Source organism: Homo sapiens, chromosome 15, assembly GCF_000001405.40.
Source record: "Homo sapiens chromosome 15, GRCh38.p14 Primary Assembly".
NCBI classification, from domain to species: domain Eukaryota; kingdom Metazoa; phylum Chordata; class Mammalia; order Primates; family Hominidae; genus Homo; species Homo sapiens.
The window spans coordinates 34,001,994-34,020,795 of NC_000015.10; the positions used below are offsets into that span (position 1 = coordinate 34,001,994).

The window sequence follows — 18,802 nt, forward strand, 5'->3', positions numbered from 1 at the left end:
TTTAGCGACGTAATTGCAGATTCACACACAGTTATAAAGAAATAATACAGAAAGATCTCTTGTACACATTGCCCAGTTTACCCCAATGATAACATTTTGCAAAACCATAATATAATATCACAACCAGAAGACTGACACTGAAACTGATACAATCTGCCAATCTTATTCAAATTTATTCATACTCATTTGTGCACACGTGTGTATATTAAGTTCTACACAATTTTATCACCTGCGTAGGTTCGTGTATCTGCCACCGCAGTCAAGATACTAATCAGTGTCAGCATCCCAGGGATCTGTCACGCTGCCCCTTTATAAGCACATCCGCCTCCCACCCTCCCATCCCCAACACCTGGAAATCACTAATCTATCTTCCAGTTATTCTTTAAACTCTTACGCCACACCTCAGTAGGGACCCTGCAGCCATCTGTACACCCAGCACTCCTCCATTCTTCCCTGTTACTGCTCTCCAGCATCACATCACTCAAGGTGCAATCAATCTTAGATTACAGCTGATCACGGAAAGGCTGGGTTTTTCACTTTATTGACAGAGAAGACTATCCAAAAGCAAAAACAAAAACTTGGTGTTCAAGTGCATATAGCTCCAATATGTGCATATCCACTACTATGTATATACCTGGCTACTTAAAAAAAGGAAAAAAAAGAGAACATATATTCTAGAAACTTTATAATGCTTCCTACAAATATAAGGAATGTTTCCTCCAATATCAAAGAAAACATTTATGTTTCTCAGACTATCAAATTTACAGCAGCATGGCTCAGCTTTTTCCACTTATAGAAAGCCTTTTATCTATCGCAAAGACTTTAGTCATTCTACATCGGTACATGGAAACCCTTACTTCCACTTAAACTCATTTTTTTCCCTTACAAGCCATTAGAAACACTGTCCTTTACTTGAATTAAAAATCCAAAGAACAAAGGATAAATTGCTAGTTATAAAAGTAGAATTTAAAAACATATATAAAATGTCTGTGCAACTTTCAGAGCACTAAACAGTATGCATGCAACTGGAATTCATACCTGCAGAGCTAAGGAGGACACTGAAATCTGTTCCCCTCTGTGACTCTCCACTTTCATTATTGACCTCTTTTTCAATATCTTGATATCGATCCCAGTTAGAGACAATCTTTCTTTTAGAATAATTTCCCTGTTCATCATTCTCTTCTCCATAGGTCTCTGCATCGCTGTCATCTTCAACCTGCAATCATTAGAGACAAATCAATAAGTAAGCAGTGGAAATCCTGACCTTAGTAGACTTCCCAGTAAAACAAAAAAGTACATGGACATAACAATAAAAAGCAATAGACCAAGCTGTCTGAAGATATTAAATATTATTTTAAGAGAATCACACTATACCAGAGTGTTCTTTTAGGGTGAACTTTCCAGTAATCATTGAAAAGGAAATCTAGCAAGCAGCTGCCTAAACATTTGTGTAGCTGATCTCTAAAATTTATCCCTATGTATCCTATTTCAATAGTTGCTTCATCCAGTTGAAATAATCAAGGCTGTAAGCATCTTAAACTCAAAGGACTTCAGGATGGAAATCAACTCTCCCTTTCAATTTATGGATATGGATTTTACAAACACATTCCATAAACATGTTTAAAAGCTTTATTTAATTTTTTAGAGCAATGAAAGTATGACATTATTTAAAACTATTTAACTTAAACATATATTACTAGGAAAACACTATTACATATAGTGAGGGACAATGACTTGTGAAATGGAGTGTGAATTTACATGGTACTACATTTATACATAAGATTCCATACTCTAGAATAATGAAAACCATTCCACATCTACATTTGTTTTAGTACTTCTTATTAACAACTTGAGTTTGAAATAAATACATGTTATGACCAGAACCATCCAGATAGGTGATTAATGAACATTCTGATGTTATATATTGACTCAAATCTATTTTTAAATATTGAGAGGAGACAAATTACTGACAAAGTCAAGGCCACTTCATTTGCCCTTGATAGCCTTCTGTGAGTGCCCTCTCAGGTACTCTCTTAGCACTCTCCAGGCTCAATTTCTACAACTTGCCTGTGTGATTGTTCAGGTAGCGTCTGTGTGAGCAACTAGTTGTATACATGTGGACACACACACATACACAATGCTCCTAGAAAAAAGCTAGCACAAAATCTTAATTCAATAGAAAAGCTTGGGTATAAAAAAGTTCCCTGTATTACAACTGACTATGTTGTATAGATTTTTAAATAGGAACCCTGCTCAGATGCATGCTAGAGAACAGTTTCCAGTATTGGGCACTGAAAGGTTAAGAGAGCATGCAGAAAGATGCACAATGTGAACAATTCTAGAAGATAAGGAACCCAGTTTCTTCAATAAATAAACTGAAAGAGAAAAAAATGGTGGGAGAGGATGGAGAAACCTATAAACCAAAAGAGCTTAAGGCATAATCAGTTGTAATGTAGGGAACTTATTTGTACTGATTTGAACAATCTAGAGAAAATAATGACTATGAGACAACTGGGAAAAAGTAAATAATGACTGGATATTTGATTATATTAAGGAAATACCACTAATTTATTGTTTGTTTGTTATAATACTGGTATTGCAATTTTTTAAAGTGTTGTTAACTTTTAGATATAAACACTGAACTCTTTATGGATGAAAAGATAGGACATGTGAGGTTTGCTCCAAAATAGTGGGTGGAGAGGAATGGTGGATAGACATGAAATATACTATACTTAATTGGTAATTGCTGAAGCTGGATGATGGGTACATGGAAAATCACTGTATTATTATTCTATCTACTTTTGCATGTATTTAAATTTTTTCATAATAGAATATTAAATTTTTAAAACAGAGATGCATGTAGAATCTAAAGACATGGTTCAAAGATGTGTCCCAAACATTACAAAATCCTTATCAAGAAAAAAATGAGTAAAATTATTAAAACAACTCATCTGTATAGGATGGGTTAGTGTGGACTTAAAAAAAATAATGAGCTTTTATTAACACAGAAGCAGGACATATGCACTGGAGAAAATTAGGAGGAAAAGACAAGCAAAACTAAAATATATAAAAACCCCAAATTCCCTCACCCACAGAGTACCACTAACCCCTCAGTACACATACTTCCAGATCTTTTTCTATGTATATATTTATATATACTTCTTTTTGGTCACTAGATTTTTAAAAAATATTCTTCATCTCTCCACTTAATAAATTTCATTTCATATAACATCCAGGCTAGTTCCAAATTTCCGTAACCCAAAAAATGTCCTATACAGCTGGTTTTTCCAAGACAGTATCCAATCCAGGACCAGGAATTGTATCTAATTGTTTATTCCTTAAGTCTCTTTGAATCTAGCACAGTCCCTATTTTTACGACCCTGACTTATTGACAAGGCCAGGCTAGGTCTGTTTGCTTCCTCATGGTATTATTTACAGATTTTTTTTATCTCCAATATTATCTATAAACTAATCTTAAAAATGTAAGTGCTCAATGGAGTCAAGCTAAATATTTTTGGCTAAAATACAGATGCTGCTTTGAACCCTTTGTTACAGCACATAAGATGGCTGAACAAACATAAGCACTATATATAATAACTAAGATGGACCACAGGGTTTGGATAATGAAGTCTGATCCACTCACCCACTGTACAGATATGTCTTCCCTCTTTCATCGAGGAAATTGTTTGTGCAGTGTTATTTGATCCACTGTAAATTTCTAGTTCCCCAACCATTCACTTAACAAATTTAACACTAGTCAATAATCCTCACCTGAATCAACTTTCATACACTTTCATGAAATAGACTAATTGGCCTTTCAAGATCACGTTCAGCCCACAAATATCATCATAAGCCTCCCTGTCAAAACAAAAAGATGGCGTTCTACATTATGATCTAGGGACTGCAAAGACTGCCTGAAAACTAGAGCATTCCTGCAAGTTTCTCAGAACCAAAAGATGCTGGCAGATTAAAGAGATATAATAGAATCTGCTATGTAAATAACAAATACCAGGAACATTCTACAGAAAATAGCCTTGGCCAGGCACGGTGGCTCACACCTGTAATCCCAACACTTTGGGAGGCCGAGGAGGGCAGATCACAAGGTGAGGAGATCGAGACCATCCTGGCTAACATGGTGAAACCCCATCTCTACTAAAAATACAAAAAATTAACTGGGCATGGTGGCGGGCACCTGTAGTCCCAGCTACTCAGGAGGCTGAGGCAGGAGAATGGCGTGAATCCAGGAGGCGGAGTTTGCAGTGAGTCAAGATCACGCCATTGCAATCCAGCCCGGGCAACAGAGCGAGACTCCGTCTCAAAAAAAAAAAAAACAGCCTTGTAACTGATGAGAATTTGCGGGACAGAACTAGAGCTGAAAACACCAGCAGGGTTTTGTCTGGGAAAATTCAATATTCTTTTGTTGGCCCATTGGGTGAACAGAGTTCAGAGAGGCTTCTCCAGTCAGTATAAAACCTATAAAACCTCTGAACACAGCTGTAACACATGGCAAAAATGTAAATCTGGGCAAAATAATTACCTTGATCTAAAAGAGGATTATGATCTAAAACACCTAAGGAACGATTAATGCAGTGAAACAAGCACTGAAATGGAAAGTGGGAGACCTAAACCGAATTAATGGTCCTGCCAAGTGTTTATAATAGGCTGATCCTTATGCATATGAATAACTCACCAGTCCCCAAATTAGAAGAACCACTGAACAAGGATCTCATTACCCCTACACAAATGCAGAGACAGAGTTGTCATTAGCCTTCATTCACAAGAGAGTAGTAAGAAGTAATATAATAATAAAAAAGTTTAGAAGACATTTGATGTAACTGAAAGATGTATCTTAAAAACTAGAGGTTTTATAGGTTCATTGTGCAAAGATGTGAGACAAAATAAAAATATGCAAAGCCTCAATATGGAGAAAAAGAACAGAGCAAATAAAATACTGATCAGAAAACAAGGTGAAAACTATAAAGATAAAGGCATCATTTTCATATAAATATTGTTACAAAATTAGTCTGGTGGTTTTCACTGTAATAGTTCATACCTGGACATCGGTCACTGGTTGCATTGTTCAGAGATTAACAGGAATCCATTTAGATTAATAAGCTGAAGACCTATTATATAATCAAACTACTGCCGAGCTATTATCTTGTCCAATGACACACACACACAAATCCATTTAAAACAAATTGAGATTTTCAACTAGAAAGAGTAGCTTAATGTTTTGCAGCTTTTCCAATAGGCAAGGGTCATTTTTGACCTCACCTGCTCTGCAGAATGAAAATGAAAAAATGAAATAAAAAAATGAATCAACTTTCTAATAATAAGAATTGTCATGATAACTCCATGTCATTCTCCAAACAGAAGAGCCGACGGCCCCTTACATATTCATATTAGAACTGTACAGAACATAATTCAGCCAAATTCTCTGCCACTTTCAAACCAGGCACGCTTTTCCTCTAGTGTCCATTAACATGTTCCTCATTTCCATCTGAGACCTACCCAGAGTCGCCTTTAATGTCCATATTTCTACCAACAGTATCTTCAAGACAACGTAGGCTGCTTCTATCATGCACCTTAAAATTCTTCCAGCTTTTACTCACTACACAATTCCAAAGCCACTTCCACACTTTTAGGTATTGGTTAGAGCAACACCCCATTTCCTGGTACCGTATTACTTTCCTACAGCTGCCATAACAAAGTATCACAAATTAGATGGCTTAAAACCACAGAAATGTTTTTCTCTCTCAGTTCTGGAGGCTAGAAATCTGAAATCTGGGTATTGGTAGGGTTGGCTCTTTCTGGAAGTTCTGAGGGAGAATCTATTCCATGACCTTCTCCAGCTTCTAGTGGTTGCTGGCAACCTTAGCATTCCTTCCTTTGCCATTTTCACATGGCATTTTCTCCTCTATGGGTGTGCATCTTCTCCATTCTTATGAGGACATGAGTTATACTGGATTAGGGCCTACCTTAATCAAGTAAGACCTTACTTTATCTTTGATTACATCTGCAAACAACCTATTTCCAAATAAGATCACACTCAGAGGTACTGCAGATTAGAATTTAAACCTATCAAAATTCTTGGAAGAAAAAATCACCTATCACAGGAGAAAAAAATAGTCGAAAATAATGGGTGGGCCTGGCACCATGGCTCACTTCTGTAATCCCAGCACTTTGGGAAGCCAAGGCAGAAGGATTGCTTGAGGCCAGGAGTTCAAGACCAGCCTAGGCAACATAGCAAGACCCTATCTCCACGAAAAAGATAAAAATTAGCCAGGTATGGTGGTGTACCTCTGTTGTCCCAGCTACTCAGGAGGCTGAGGTGATAGGATCAGCTGACCCAGGAGTTTGAGGCTGCAGTGAGCTGTGATTGTGCCACTGCACTGAAGCCTGGGGGACAGAGCAAGACCGTGTCTCTTAAAAAGAAAAAAAAAAAGAAGAAAAATAATGCCTGAAAACTTCCCAAAGTTGATGAAAAACCTTTTTTTTTTTTTTTTTTTTTTTGAGACAGAGTCTTGCTCTGTCACCCAGGCTGGAGTGCAGTGGCACAATCTCGGCTCGCTGCAACCTCCGCCTCCCGGGTTCAAGTCATTCTTCTGCCTCAGCTTCCCAAGTAGCTGGGACCACAGGCGTGTGCCACCATGGCAGGCTAATTTTTTGTATTTATAGTAGAGACAGGGTTTCACCGTGTTAGCCAGGATAGTCTCAATCTCCTGACCTCGTGATCTGCCCGCTTCAGCCTCCCAAAGTGATGGGATTACAGGCGTGAGCCACCGTGCCTAGCCGATGAAAAACCTTTATACATCCAAGAAGCTCAATGAACTTCTAGTGTATATGCAAAGAGATTCATAGATACATAATAAAAAAGCTAAAAGCCAAAAACAAGGATTCTGCAGACCCACTCCATTTTGTTAAGATAAAATTAAAACACACACTCACACGTGCGCGCGCGCACACACACACACACACACACAGACCATCGAGAAAACACTGAAAATCAAGAAAAAGGAAAAACCAACTCATCACAAGGCAACCCAAAGAAAATTAATGGCTAACTTCTCATCAGAATCAACGGAAGCCAGAAGGCAATAATATAACATATTCAAAGTGTTGCTAGGAAAAAAAATAAACTGTCAGCCAAGAATCCTACATACAAAAAAGCTATCTTTCAAAAGTGAGGGTGAAAAAAAGACATTCCCAGATAAACAAAACGTAAGAAAATTTGCTCTAACAGGCCCACCTTACAAGATACACTAACAAAGTTCTTCAAACTAAAAACAAGTGGTCCTAAACAGCAATTCAAATCCACATGAAAAAAACAAATCCACATGAAAAAACCAGTAATTATGTAACTATAAAATATCACATAAATGCATATTTCTTCTCTTGTCTTCCCTTTACTGATTTTAAAAGCAATTCTATAAAACAATATGTGTATAATTGTATTGCTGGGCCTATAACATAGATTTTTTTAAAAAATCAATATCCAACTACAGCTGTCTACAGGAGATTCACTTTAGATTCAAAGATACAAGTAGCAGTAAAATAAAGAAAAAGCATAAAAAAATTCTATGCAAACACTAAAGAGCTAGCATGACTACATAAATATCAGACAAAATAGACTTTAAAACAAAAATCGTTATAAAGACCAAGAAGGCTGTTACATAATAATAAAAAGGTCAATCAAAAAGATATAACAATAGGGCCAGGCACAGTGGTTCATGCCTGTAATCCCAATGCTTTGGGAGGCCAAGGTAGGGAGGGTCGCTTGAGGCCAGGAGTTTGAGATCAGCCTGAGCAACATAGAGAGCATTGCTACAAAAATAAAAATAAAAAATTAGCTGAGCATGGTGGCATGAACCTGTAGTCCTAGCACTTGAGCCCAAGAGTTTGAAGTTACAGTGAGCTATGATCATGACACTGTACTCCAGCCTGGGCAATGGAGTGAAACCCTGTCTCTTAAAAGAAAAAAAAGAAACATAATAATTATGAACATATAAACATATGCTCCTAGGAACACAGCTTCACAATATATGAAGCAAAAACTGACAGAATAGAAGGGAGAATAGAAAGTTTAACAATAATAGTTAGAAACTTCAAGCCCCTACCTTTAATATGGATTAGACTGACTAGACAAAAGGAACCATATGCTTAACAGAAACAATAAAAAGATTTACTTACTGAAGCTACCATCCTATTTAACTTACAATAAATAAACAATAATTTACATTAATTTATAATCTGCTTAATTTAACTGGCCCACCTATGAACAGTATATTTGGACAACCTTATTCATTAAATATCCTACCTTTTCTTTCCAAAATAAATAAATAAATAAAAGAAGTTGCCAAGAGAATACTTACAGATTATCTCTATCACCAAGAGCCTTCAGATGAGCCAGTAAAATTTCAGAAGTTATTAATACTAATAACATATAACAACCAGACAACAGATCCTATTTAAAGCCTTTTATGTTTAAGAACCTAGTTTTTGCAGGTCCCTGGTTCTACTTTCTTCTGGAGCAAAAAGGTATAGAAAAGGCTTTCCTGTTTTGAAGCTAGTAAGGAGTTCAAAAACATTCACACCATTTTTCACCCACCTCCTATGTTCCTCACAAAAGGTAAATTATATCATAGAGGTGAATAGGTAGAATAGAAAGAAATGAGAAAGAACACATTTAAGGAAACCCTCCAACAAAAAAGTCACCAAAAACTAATCACAGTGATTACTAATGTCAAATATTCTCAATTAAAATTTTACAATGTGTATAACTGAAAAATAATACTAATTCAGCCCATTTCAAAATGTTTAATGTTACTGAGCTTTAAAATATATAACTGATTAATAGTTAATTGCCAACTTTTATATTTGTAAACCTATTAAGGTCATTTTTATCTTATATAATCATTTGGACCATAAGCAACAACTTACACTACTTTTTTCACTATTAAAAAACATTATCTTTTTAACAATAGAAAAACTCATAAACCATCATAATTAAAGAATTCAATGACAGTTTTCGATATTTGAAAAGTGTGCTAGGGCCGGGCATGGTGGCTCATTCCTATAATACCTGCACTTTGGGAGGCCTAGGCAAGAGGATTACTTGAGCCCAAGAGCTCAAGGCTGCAGTAAGCTATGATCATGCCACTGCACTCCAGCCTGGGTGACAGAGCAAGACTCTGTCTCAAAAAAAACTTTGTTTACTAGGCCTATACGAAAAAGGAAAAAAAGGCAGGGGGAACTACGCTAGCAAAAACAATTCTTTCAAGAAGTGAAATTTCAATAAAACATTGAATAAAAAAGGATACGGATATACAAAAAAGGGCGTTTCCATTTGTCTTTGTGTATTAAATAAAATATATGTTGTATATTAAATAAGATATGCATGATCATATTTGAAAAAATTAATAAATGCAGTATATGGCATATATGTGAATTATCTCTTGATCCCAGAACAATGTACATAATAATAAATAATTGGGCTCCAAAATACTGTGGCCATTAAGAATGGGAATAAAATGATCCACATGATAGTCAAATTCAACTGTTTCTCTAGCAAAAGAAGTATATACAGCTGTCCTTCCTTGTGGTCAGTATATGGAAAAAGCAGAGGGGAAGGGAGGAGAGAGGCATCCCACAACCAAGAAAATGGGAACTCAACCCTCAGTGCAGCTGTTCAACCACTCATCTCACAGGCCTCTCATTCCATCTCTCTCTTTCCCTAAGTCCTTATATCTTTCTCATGTGTGTCATTTTGCTTCCAAGTCGGCTAAAACTGGAAGGCACAGGAAGGTAATTTGCATCTGTAGGCAGCCCACACCAGGGACAGACTATGGGATTTCTCAAAGTCAAGACCTTGCGAGTTCTATGCTTCAATGACTTAAGGATAATTTGGGAAATTAGACTGGAGTAACTTTTATTGGACTAATTAGTGATTTTAAACTACAGTTTGTGGAGGTCCTTTTAGGGAGTCCTTGTAGAAAGGAAGGGGGAAATGGCAATAGAATCAGTTTCATTTTATCTGCTTTAAAAAATGAGCTTCTTATAAGAATTTGGGACTTCTGAAGCTTTTTAACAAGGTTTGGAAATTACCAAATTAAGCCATTTTGCAAGTCCCAACTCCCAGGTAAAGTCTATGAGCTAGATTACCATCAACAACTTTTCTAGTAAAGAAGGCATTAAATGGTCCTATATAAAGACAATTTGCTTCTTGACGTGGTTATGATCTGAGAGAAAAGATACCGTTTTGCTTTGCCAATCTATTTAATCCACAGACACACACAATAAGTAGTGACACAACTAGAAGGCCTATAAGTAAAACATTTCCTTTGTTAAATCATATGATTAAAGGTCATCTGTATAAAAAATATCTTTATATAAATACCCTGAGCATTTCTGGGTGATCTTGGTGTGCAAAATATATTTACCTGAACCATTGCCACTGACCATTTACTGTTTTTCTGAAGGCGGAAAGGGATGCTTCAGGTACATCTGCCTCTCTGTTCCATTTTTGCTGGGATTTCACTGCATATGCTTAATGCTGCAAATGGCCAGATTTTCTTTTGTCTCTGTCTCAGTTAAATTTTCAACTCTCTTATCTACCAGCGTAAGTCTGGTTTCCTTAGTCACTCAGGTTTTAATGTCATCACATTCCACTTTCCAGAAAAATCAGACCATTAAATAGCTGTCTTCTGGCCCACTTGAAGATATTTTCCAAACTCTCAAGTCGCCAGAGGAAGAGAACTTTAACAAGTAAAGCATTACTGAACTAGAAGGAACCTAGATAGGTCAAGCCTCTGCCCTCAAGCAAGAACATGCAGAAATCACATTGCACCAGTCTGTCCTACGGCTAGGTTCTGGGGTTATGTTTACTCTTCACCTAAGTTAACCATTATTTTTTCCTTTATAAGCACAAATTTCCAATTTCTTAATCATTGTCATGGTCTGTTTTAAATTTCCTAAATTCCCCACCAGCTTTTTTAATGGTTATAATCAAAATGAATGTAGCATACTAAGGACCTGACCAGTGTCTCCTCCTATCACAGTGGTTTTTTTGTTTGTTTGTTTGTTTTTTGAGACAGAGTCTCACTCTGTCGCCCCGGCTGGAGTGCAATGGCGCAATCTTGGCTCACTGCAACCTCTGCCTCCTGGGTTCAAGCGATTCTCATGTCTCAGCCTCCTGAGTAGCTGGGATTACAGGCGCGCGCCACCACGCCCAGCTAATATTTGTATTTTTAGCAGAGGTGGGGTTTCACCATGTTGGCCAGGCTGGTCTCAAACTCCTGATCTCAAGTAATCCATCTGCCTTGGCCTCCCAAAGTGCTAGGATTACAAGTGTGAGCCACTGGGCCTGGCCAAATGTTTTAAATAAAATGAAAATAAAAACAGTCACCTTGATAGTTCCTTCCCAGGATAAACTTATTTCTTTAAGTACAACTCTAAGTGGCACTTATTGTTACATTTGTCTGTCCTGCAATATGTCCACAGAGAGCTACTTTTGCTCCTTGCACCACTAAATTGCCAATATTCATTTAACAGTGTTTCCTGAGTAGTTACTGACTTCCAGCACTGGATCAGGCATTGGGAATACAAAGACCAATAAGCCAAGGGCCCAGGCCTCAAGAACTCACAGTGCTGTGGGAAACACGGAGAAGTAAACATATATAGTGTGATATCAGCTACTATAAAACATTCACAAGATGTTACGGAAGCACAGAAAAAACATCACCAATGGGGGAGAAGGGGGAATGGGGGACATCTTCAGGACCAGGCTTGTGAGCCAGTGGGAAGCAGGAGGATGACATCACAGGCTGAGGGAAGAGTATGTACGAGGACCCATGAGCGAGAAACAGTTCTGCTCTAGATGTAGACTCACGGCCTGAGATGAGCCTACTGAAGGAACGGCTGCTATCTTCCGCCTGCTGACTCTTCCCAACCTCAAGAACAGAGGGAACTCACATTATCCCCTGCCTTGGTATTAGCAAAGAACGTGCTTCTAACCAAGAGATAACAGCTGTTCAAAACAAAACCCGGGGAGATCAACAATGGGAAATTTTAAAAAAGAAAAACACATTTAGCTGGGCACAGTGGCTCACGCCTGCAATCCCAGCACTCTGGGAGGCCAACATGGGCGGATCACCTGAGGTCAGGAATTTGAGACCAGCCTGGCCAACATGGCAAAACCCCATCTCTACTAAAAATATGAAAAATTAGCCAGGCGTGGTGGCACGCACCTGTAACCCCAGCTACTTGGGAGGCTGAGGCAGGAGGATTGCTTGAACCCAGGAGGCAGAGATTACAGTGAGCCAAGATTGTGCCATTGCACTCCAGCTTAAGCAACAAGAGCGAAACTCCATCTCATTAAAAAAAAAAAAAAAAACAAAAACAAAAACCACGTTTGAGGATTCTGGGAAGATGGCAGCAGCAGCAGTATGGTTTTCCCAGGTCCCCTGATAAAAAATACAAAGAGCAACTAGGGTAACAAAATCAAAAATCCATGGGAAACAGCCACAAAAGCCTAGGTGACAAAGTATCTCCACAAAGTCCCAAAGATGAACAGGTACAAATCACCAATAGTCACAAGACCTGTAAGGTAGGTACCAGTGTCTGTGAGAGGAAGCAGAGATGGGATCAATGCAGCATCTGACAGACCTGGGCATCCCAAAACAAACAACAGGCACTCAACTGGAAAGTTCAGCGGGCCCATCTGGGAACAGCGGCTAAATATGTTGGGTCTACTCCAACAGCTGGTGAGTTCAAGGAATTTGCAGCTAAGGCTGAAGGAGCTGAGAATGTGGCCCCTTGACCTCTCAAAACTAACTGGCCAAAAGCTCTTTTGCCAGACAAAACTCCACTCTGAAGAAAAACTCCTGGGGGCAGAATTCAAATTGAGCAGAAGAGGAATAATAAAAGATAAACAGAAAGGAAGGGTCAGATACAGGGGGTGAGGGGTGCCGGATTTGAGAAGCAGGGACCATCTTTTTAATCACTTCAAGACAACAGAAGACTTCTGGTACTCTAGAGTCCTGAAGCCTGAAAAGCTGTCCTTAACAGTGTGTCTCCCTTCTAAAAGCTGGGAAAACTGGCTTTCCATGAAGATGAGCAACAACAAAGGATCACAGTCAAATCCCATTCAAAGCTGTTATCATAAGGAAAAAGATAACAAAGGAGCACTTTTTAAAAAATTCCACAAAATAGGCCGGGCGCAGTGGCTCACGCCTGTAATCCCAGCACTTTCGGAGGCCAAGGCAGGCGGGTCACGAGGTCAGGAGATCGAGACCATCTTGGCTAACACAGTGAAACCCCACCTCTACTAAAAATACAAAAAATTAGCCAGGTGCGGTGGCGGGCACCTGTAGTCCAGCTACTCGGGAGGCTGAGGCAGGAGAATAGCGTGAACCCGGGAGGCGGAGCTTGCAGTGAGCCGAGATCGCACCACTGCACTCCAGCCTGGGTGACAGAGCGAGACTCCATCTCAAAAAATAAAAAAAAATAAAAAAATTCCACAAAATATCCAAAAATGTTTTATTATAATACAATCTCACTGTTTTAGGATAATTTGGGAAATTAAACTAACTAAAAATTCCACCCTCGGTCTTTAGGAGCTAAGAATAAAAAAGTAACAGTTGTCAGCTCTCAGTCTTGCTCAGAAACAGCAACACATGAGGGAAAAAAAAGTGGGTAGAGAGACTCTAACAGACAAAAAGGTAAACCAACCCACAAAGCTAATGTTCAATGACACGTCTCACACGGATCTTCACTCCATCCCTTTCCTTCTCCAAGTCCTTATATCTTTCTCATAGGTGTTATTTTATTTCAAAGATAAAATGATAAAAATGAGAGGCATGAAAGAGTAATTACCATTCGTTAGCAGAATCAACAATTGGAGACAGTACATTCCTGGCTCCTTAGATGCACTCTTAACTTTCCTTCAAATAATACACCCTCAGATCTGAACAGTAACCATTATGTGACATAAAACTGGAAAGCGGCTGGGCGCGGTGGCTCATGCCTGTAATCCCAGCACTTTGGGAGGCCAAGGTGGGCGGATCGCCTGAGGTCAGGAGTTCGAGACCAGCCTGACCAACATGGAGAAACCCCGTCTCTACTAAAAATACAAAATTAGCTGGGCATGGTGGTGCACGCCTGTAATTCCAGCTACTCGGTTACAGTGAGCCAAGATCGTGCCATTGCACTCCAGCCTGGGCAACAAGAGCAAAACTCCATCTCAAAAAACAAAAACAAAAACAAAACCGGAAAGCAACTTATCTCTCCTAGGTTCTGCATTAGAATGAAGTGCACAGTACTATCAGATCAACAAAACAACAGACTTTTAAAAATCTTATTATGTAGTAAACTTACAATACTAATAGACACTGAGTTGGGCTCGCATGGGTACTGACCTCTCCATCTCACCTGGTCAATTATCTGCTTCCTGGTACTTGATTCTCTGCATGTGGCCACATGACTCTTTTTTCTTACAAATTTCCCCCTTTCCCTTCATACCACACTTCAGTCAAAAGTATCTCAGCAATATTTATCTCCTGGGCTACAAAATGTAACCTGAATCTTTAAAAAATATTACCAACAGGAGTTTTTGATCCAGTCAACAAACTTTTCTCCACTAACTAAAGCCAAGTGTCTCTGCCTGCTTGTATGCTATGGAGTATGTAATCAGAAACAAATTAAATACTCAGAGAATTCCCTTCTCTGGTGAGTGGTCCATTTTAAACCAGCGTAACCGTTTGGTCAAAAACAAAAGGTTTGTTTCTTCTTCACATTCAGAGTTCTAGACCATTACCTTCTAAATAACTCAGGTTCACCAAAATATCACTTGCCAACACCCACGTGTGGTGGCACACGCCTGTAATTGCAGCACTTTGGGAGGCCAAGGTGGGTGGATTACTAGAGCCCAGGAATTCAAGATCAGCCCGGACAACATGGCAAAACCCCATCTCTACAAAAAAGTACCAAAAATTAGCCAGGCATGGTGGCACATCCCTGTAGTCCAAGCTACTCAGGAGGCTGAGGTGGGAGGATCACCTCAGCCTGGGGAGGTCAAGGCTGTAATGAGCTGTGATTATGCCACTGCATTCCTGGATGACAGAATGAGACTCTGTCTCAAGGGGGAAAAAAAAAGGTATCATTTGACAAAGCTTCTCACCTACAATGAATCCAACCACCCGTCTCAAATCCACCCACTCTGTTCACCTATTAACAATTCATCCAAAAGCCTAGAACTGAGCTCTCATACAAAATGAAACAAAGCAAAGCAAACACCACCACCCCATTTTAAACAGCATGGAGATCTCATCCCTGTTCCATAAAGTTAAGCAGATTCCCCAAAGAATGACATTTCAAAAGAGAAAATATCAATCACCTAAGATTTTTCAGGTAATGTCCCTATCCCCACATAACTACCCATTCTCGTAAGATGCCAATTAACCAAGATAAGTGATTTCAGTATGATTTTTTTTTTGTTTTTTTTTTTTTTTTGAGACAGGGTCTTGCTATGTCATCCAGGCCGGAGTGCAGTACTGCGATCAGCTTATTGCAACCTCCATCTCCCAGTTCAAGCAATTCTCCTGCCTGAGTCTCTCAAGTAGCTGTGACTACAGGTGCATGCCACCACACCCAGCTAATTTTTGTATTTTTAGTAGAGACAGGGTTTCACCATGTTGGCCAGGCAGGTCTCGAACTCCTGACCTCAAGTGATCCACCCACCTCAGCCTCCCAAAGTGCTGGGATTACAGGATTGAGCCACTGAGCCTGGCCAGTAAGCCTAAGGTTCTAAAATTATTAAAAACTCCATTGTCTAGCAACTAAGTAATGCACCACATACCATTTTGGTCAACAATGGACCATATTTACAACAGTGGTCCCATAAGGTTATAATGGAGCTGAAAATAATGTCATAGTGCACAGCATTATTCACAGGTCTGTGGCGATACTGATGTAAACAAACCTACTACATTACCAGTCATATAAAAGTCCAGCACATACAATTATGTACACTACATAATACTGACAATGATACTAAATGGTTTATGTATTTACTATATTATACTTTTTACCATTATTTTAGAGTACAGTCATTCTACTTACTTCTTAAAAAAGCTAACTGTAAGCCTCAAGCAGGTCCTTCAGGAGCTATTCCAAAAGAAGGCATTGTTACATAGGAGATGACAGCTCCATGCATTTTGCTGACCCTAAAGTCCTTCCAGTGGTACAAGATGTGGAGGTGGAAGACAGTGATATTGTGTCCGGAATTTATTCCTTCTTGTGGGTTCTCGGTCTCACTAACTTCAAGAATGAAGCCGCAGACCGTCGCGGTGTGTTACAGTTCTTAAAGATGGTGTGTCCAGAGTTTGTTCCTTCAGATGTTCAGATGTGTCGAGTTTCTTCCTTCCGGTGGGTTCGTGGTCTCCCTGACTTCAGAAGTGAAGCCACATACCTTCGCAGTGAGTGTTACAGTTTTTAAAGGTAGTGCGTCCAGAGTTGTTTGTTTCTCCCGGTGGGTTCGTGGTCTCGCTGACTTCAGGAATGAAGCCGCAGACCCTCGTGGTGAGTGTTACAGCTCATAAAGGTAGTGCAGACCCAAAGAGTGTGCAGCAGCAAGACTTATTGTGAAGAGTGAAAGAACAAAGCTTCCACAGAATGGAAAGGGACTCCAGTGGGTTGCTGCTGCTGGCTGGGGTGACCAGCTTTTATTCCCTTATTTGGCCCTGCCCACGTCCTACTGATTGGTCCATTTTACAGAGTGCTAATTGGTCCATTTACAGAGTGCTGATTGGTGCATTTACAATCATTTAGCTAGACACAGACCACTGATTGGTGCATTTTTACAGAGTGCTGATCAGTGCATTTATAATCCTTTAGCTAAACACAGAGTGCTGATTGGTGCATTTTTACAGAGTGCTGATTGGTGTTTTTTACAATCCTTCAGCTAGACACAGAGTGCTGATTGGTGTGTTTTTACAGAGTGCTCATTGGTGCATCTACAATCTAACTAGACACAGAGCGCTGATTGGTGCGTTTTTTTTACAGAGTGCTGATTGGTGCATTTTCAATCCTTTAGCTAGACACAGAGTGCTGATTGGTGCATTTACAATCCTCTAGCTAGACAGAAAAGTTCTCCAAGTCCCCACTCAACCCAGTAAGTCCAGCTGGCTTCACCGCTTACTATTGATGATCCTGACCCTGTGTAGGCCTAGGCTAATGGATGTAATTGTTTGTGTCTTCATTTTTAAGAAAAATCTTTTAAAAGTAGAAAAGTATTTTTAAAATAGAAAACAAAAGCTTATAAAGATATATTTTGGTACAGCTGTACAATGTGTTTGTTTTAAGCTAAGTGTTATTACAAGAGTCAAAAAGGTAAAAATATTTAAAAGTTTATAAAGTAAGAAAATTACAGTAAACTAGGGCTAATTATTTAAAAAAAGCATAAGTTTAGTGTAGCCTAAGTGTACAGTGTTTATAAAGTCTATAGTAGTGTACAGTAATGTCCTAGGCCTTCCTATTCACTCACCACTCACTCACTGACTCACTCAGAGCAACTTTCAGTCCTGCAAGCTCCATTCATGGAAAGCACCCCATACAGGTTTACCATTTCTCATCCTATACACAGTAATTTTACTGTACCTTTTTTATGTTTAGACACACAAATACTTACCATTGTGATATAACTGTCTACAGTATCCAGTACCGTAACATGCTGTACAGGTTTGTAGCCCAGGAGCAATATGTTATACCATACCGCCTGGGTGTACAGTAGGCTACACCATCTAGGTTTATGTAAGTACCCTCTATGGTATTGCACAATGACAAGTCACCTAACGACATGTTTCTCAGACTATATCCCCATTAAGCAATACATGACTATTTATTGTAGCAAAACTTAGAAAAATAGAATTGCAAAGTCTTAAGCAGTTCTTTTGTATGCAATTACATTTTAATGCATACAACAAGTTCAAAAGAGTCTTGATTTTTTAAACACCTTTTCCATGCCTCAAAATAGAGGTTTTAGGCTGGGCGCAGTGGTTCACACCTGTAATCCCAGCACTTTGGGAGGCCAAGGTGGGTGGATCACAAGGTCAGGAGATCGAGACCATCTTGGCTAACATGGTGAAACCCCGTCTCTACTAAAAATACAAAAAATTAGCCAGGCGTGGTGGTGGGTGCCTGTAGTCCCAGCTACTCGGGAGGCTGAGGCAGGAGAATGGCGTGAACCAGGGAGGCGGAGCTTGCAGTTAGCTGAGATCACACCACTGCACTCTAGCCTGGGTGACCGAGCGAGACTCCATCTCAAAAAAAAAAGAAAAAAAAATAGAGGTTTTAAAAGGATAGTGTTCTTTTCTGCTTTTAGAACTTTCTTACTGATGCCTTTACAAGTTGGTTGCACAATATAAATCCAAGGAGGCAAATTAGAAATTTGGTTGAAACAATACTATTTCTCTTAAAGCATGTAGATCATCTGGTTTAAGCCTCTAAGCACCTATCCTTGTTAACTAAAGGGTTAATGCCATCATCTGGCAGAACATCCCCTCTTCTCACACCACCTCACAATTCTGAAATGGATTTCAATTCTCACTGCACTTTCATTAGTACTTGCTCTGACTTACAGATGGGCAGCTGTAACTTCATAAAGCTATGTATGCCTTCATAAAAGCTCCTCATATCACATCATTCAAGCCCCTTGACTGAATTACGACCTTACTCTCCTTGTCATGAAAAGCTGTAAATGAAATTAGGCCAAATTTCGTAAGACACAAGATATAATCTCCACATAACT

The 18,802-nt window shown here is 39.1% G+C and overlaps 2 protein-coding genes across 13 annotated transcripts in view; one reads left to right on the plus strand and one right to left on the minus strand.

Moving 5' to 3' along the window:
• Positions 1-18,802, minus strand: part of AVEN (apoptosis and caspase activation inhibitor) — a 223,545-nt gene that overhangs the window by 150,213 nt on the left and 54,530 nt on the right. For all 11 annotated transcript variants that reach the window (XR_007064480.1, XR_007064476.1, XR_002957667.2 and 8 more), the window contains one exon: positions 1,039-1,216. Coding sequence is in view for 5 of the 11 variants with exons in the window: in XM_047432882.1 (XP_047288838.1) it covers positions 1,039-1,216 (178 nt within the window). In the remaining 6 variants the exon portion in view is untranslated. The remainder of the gene's footprint in view (positions 1-1,038; positions 1,217-18,802) is intronic.
• The window catches only part of CHRM5 (cholinergic receptor muscarinic 5), a 98,962-nt gene that overhangs the window by 33,497 nt on the left and 46,663 nt on the right, over positions 1-18,802 (plus strand). The gene's annotated exons all lie outside the window — the stretch shown is intronic.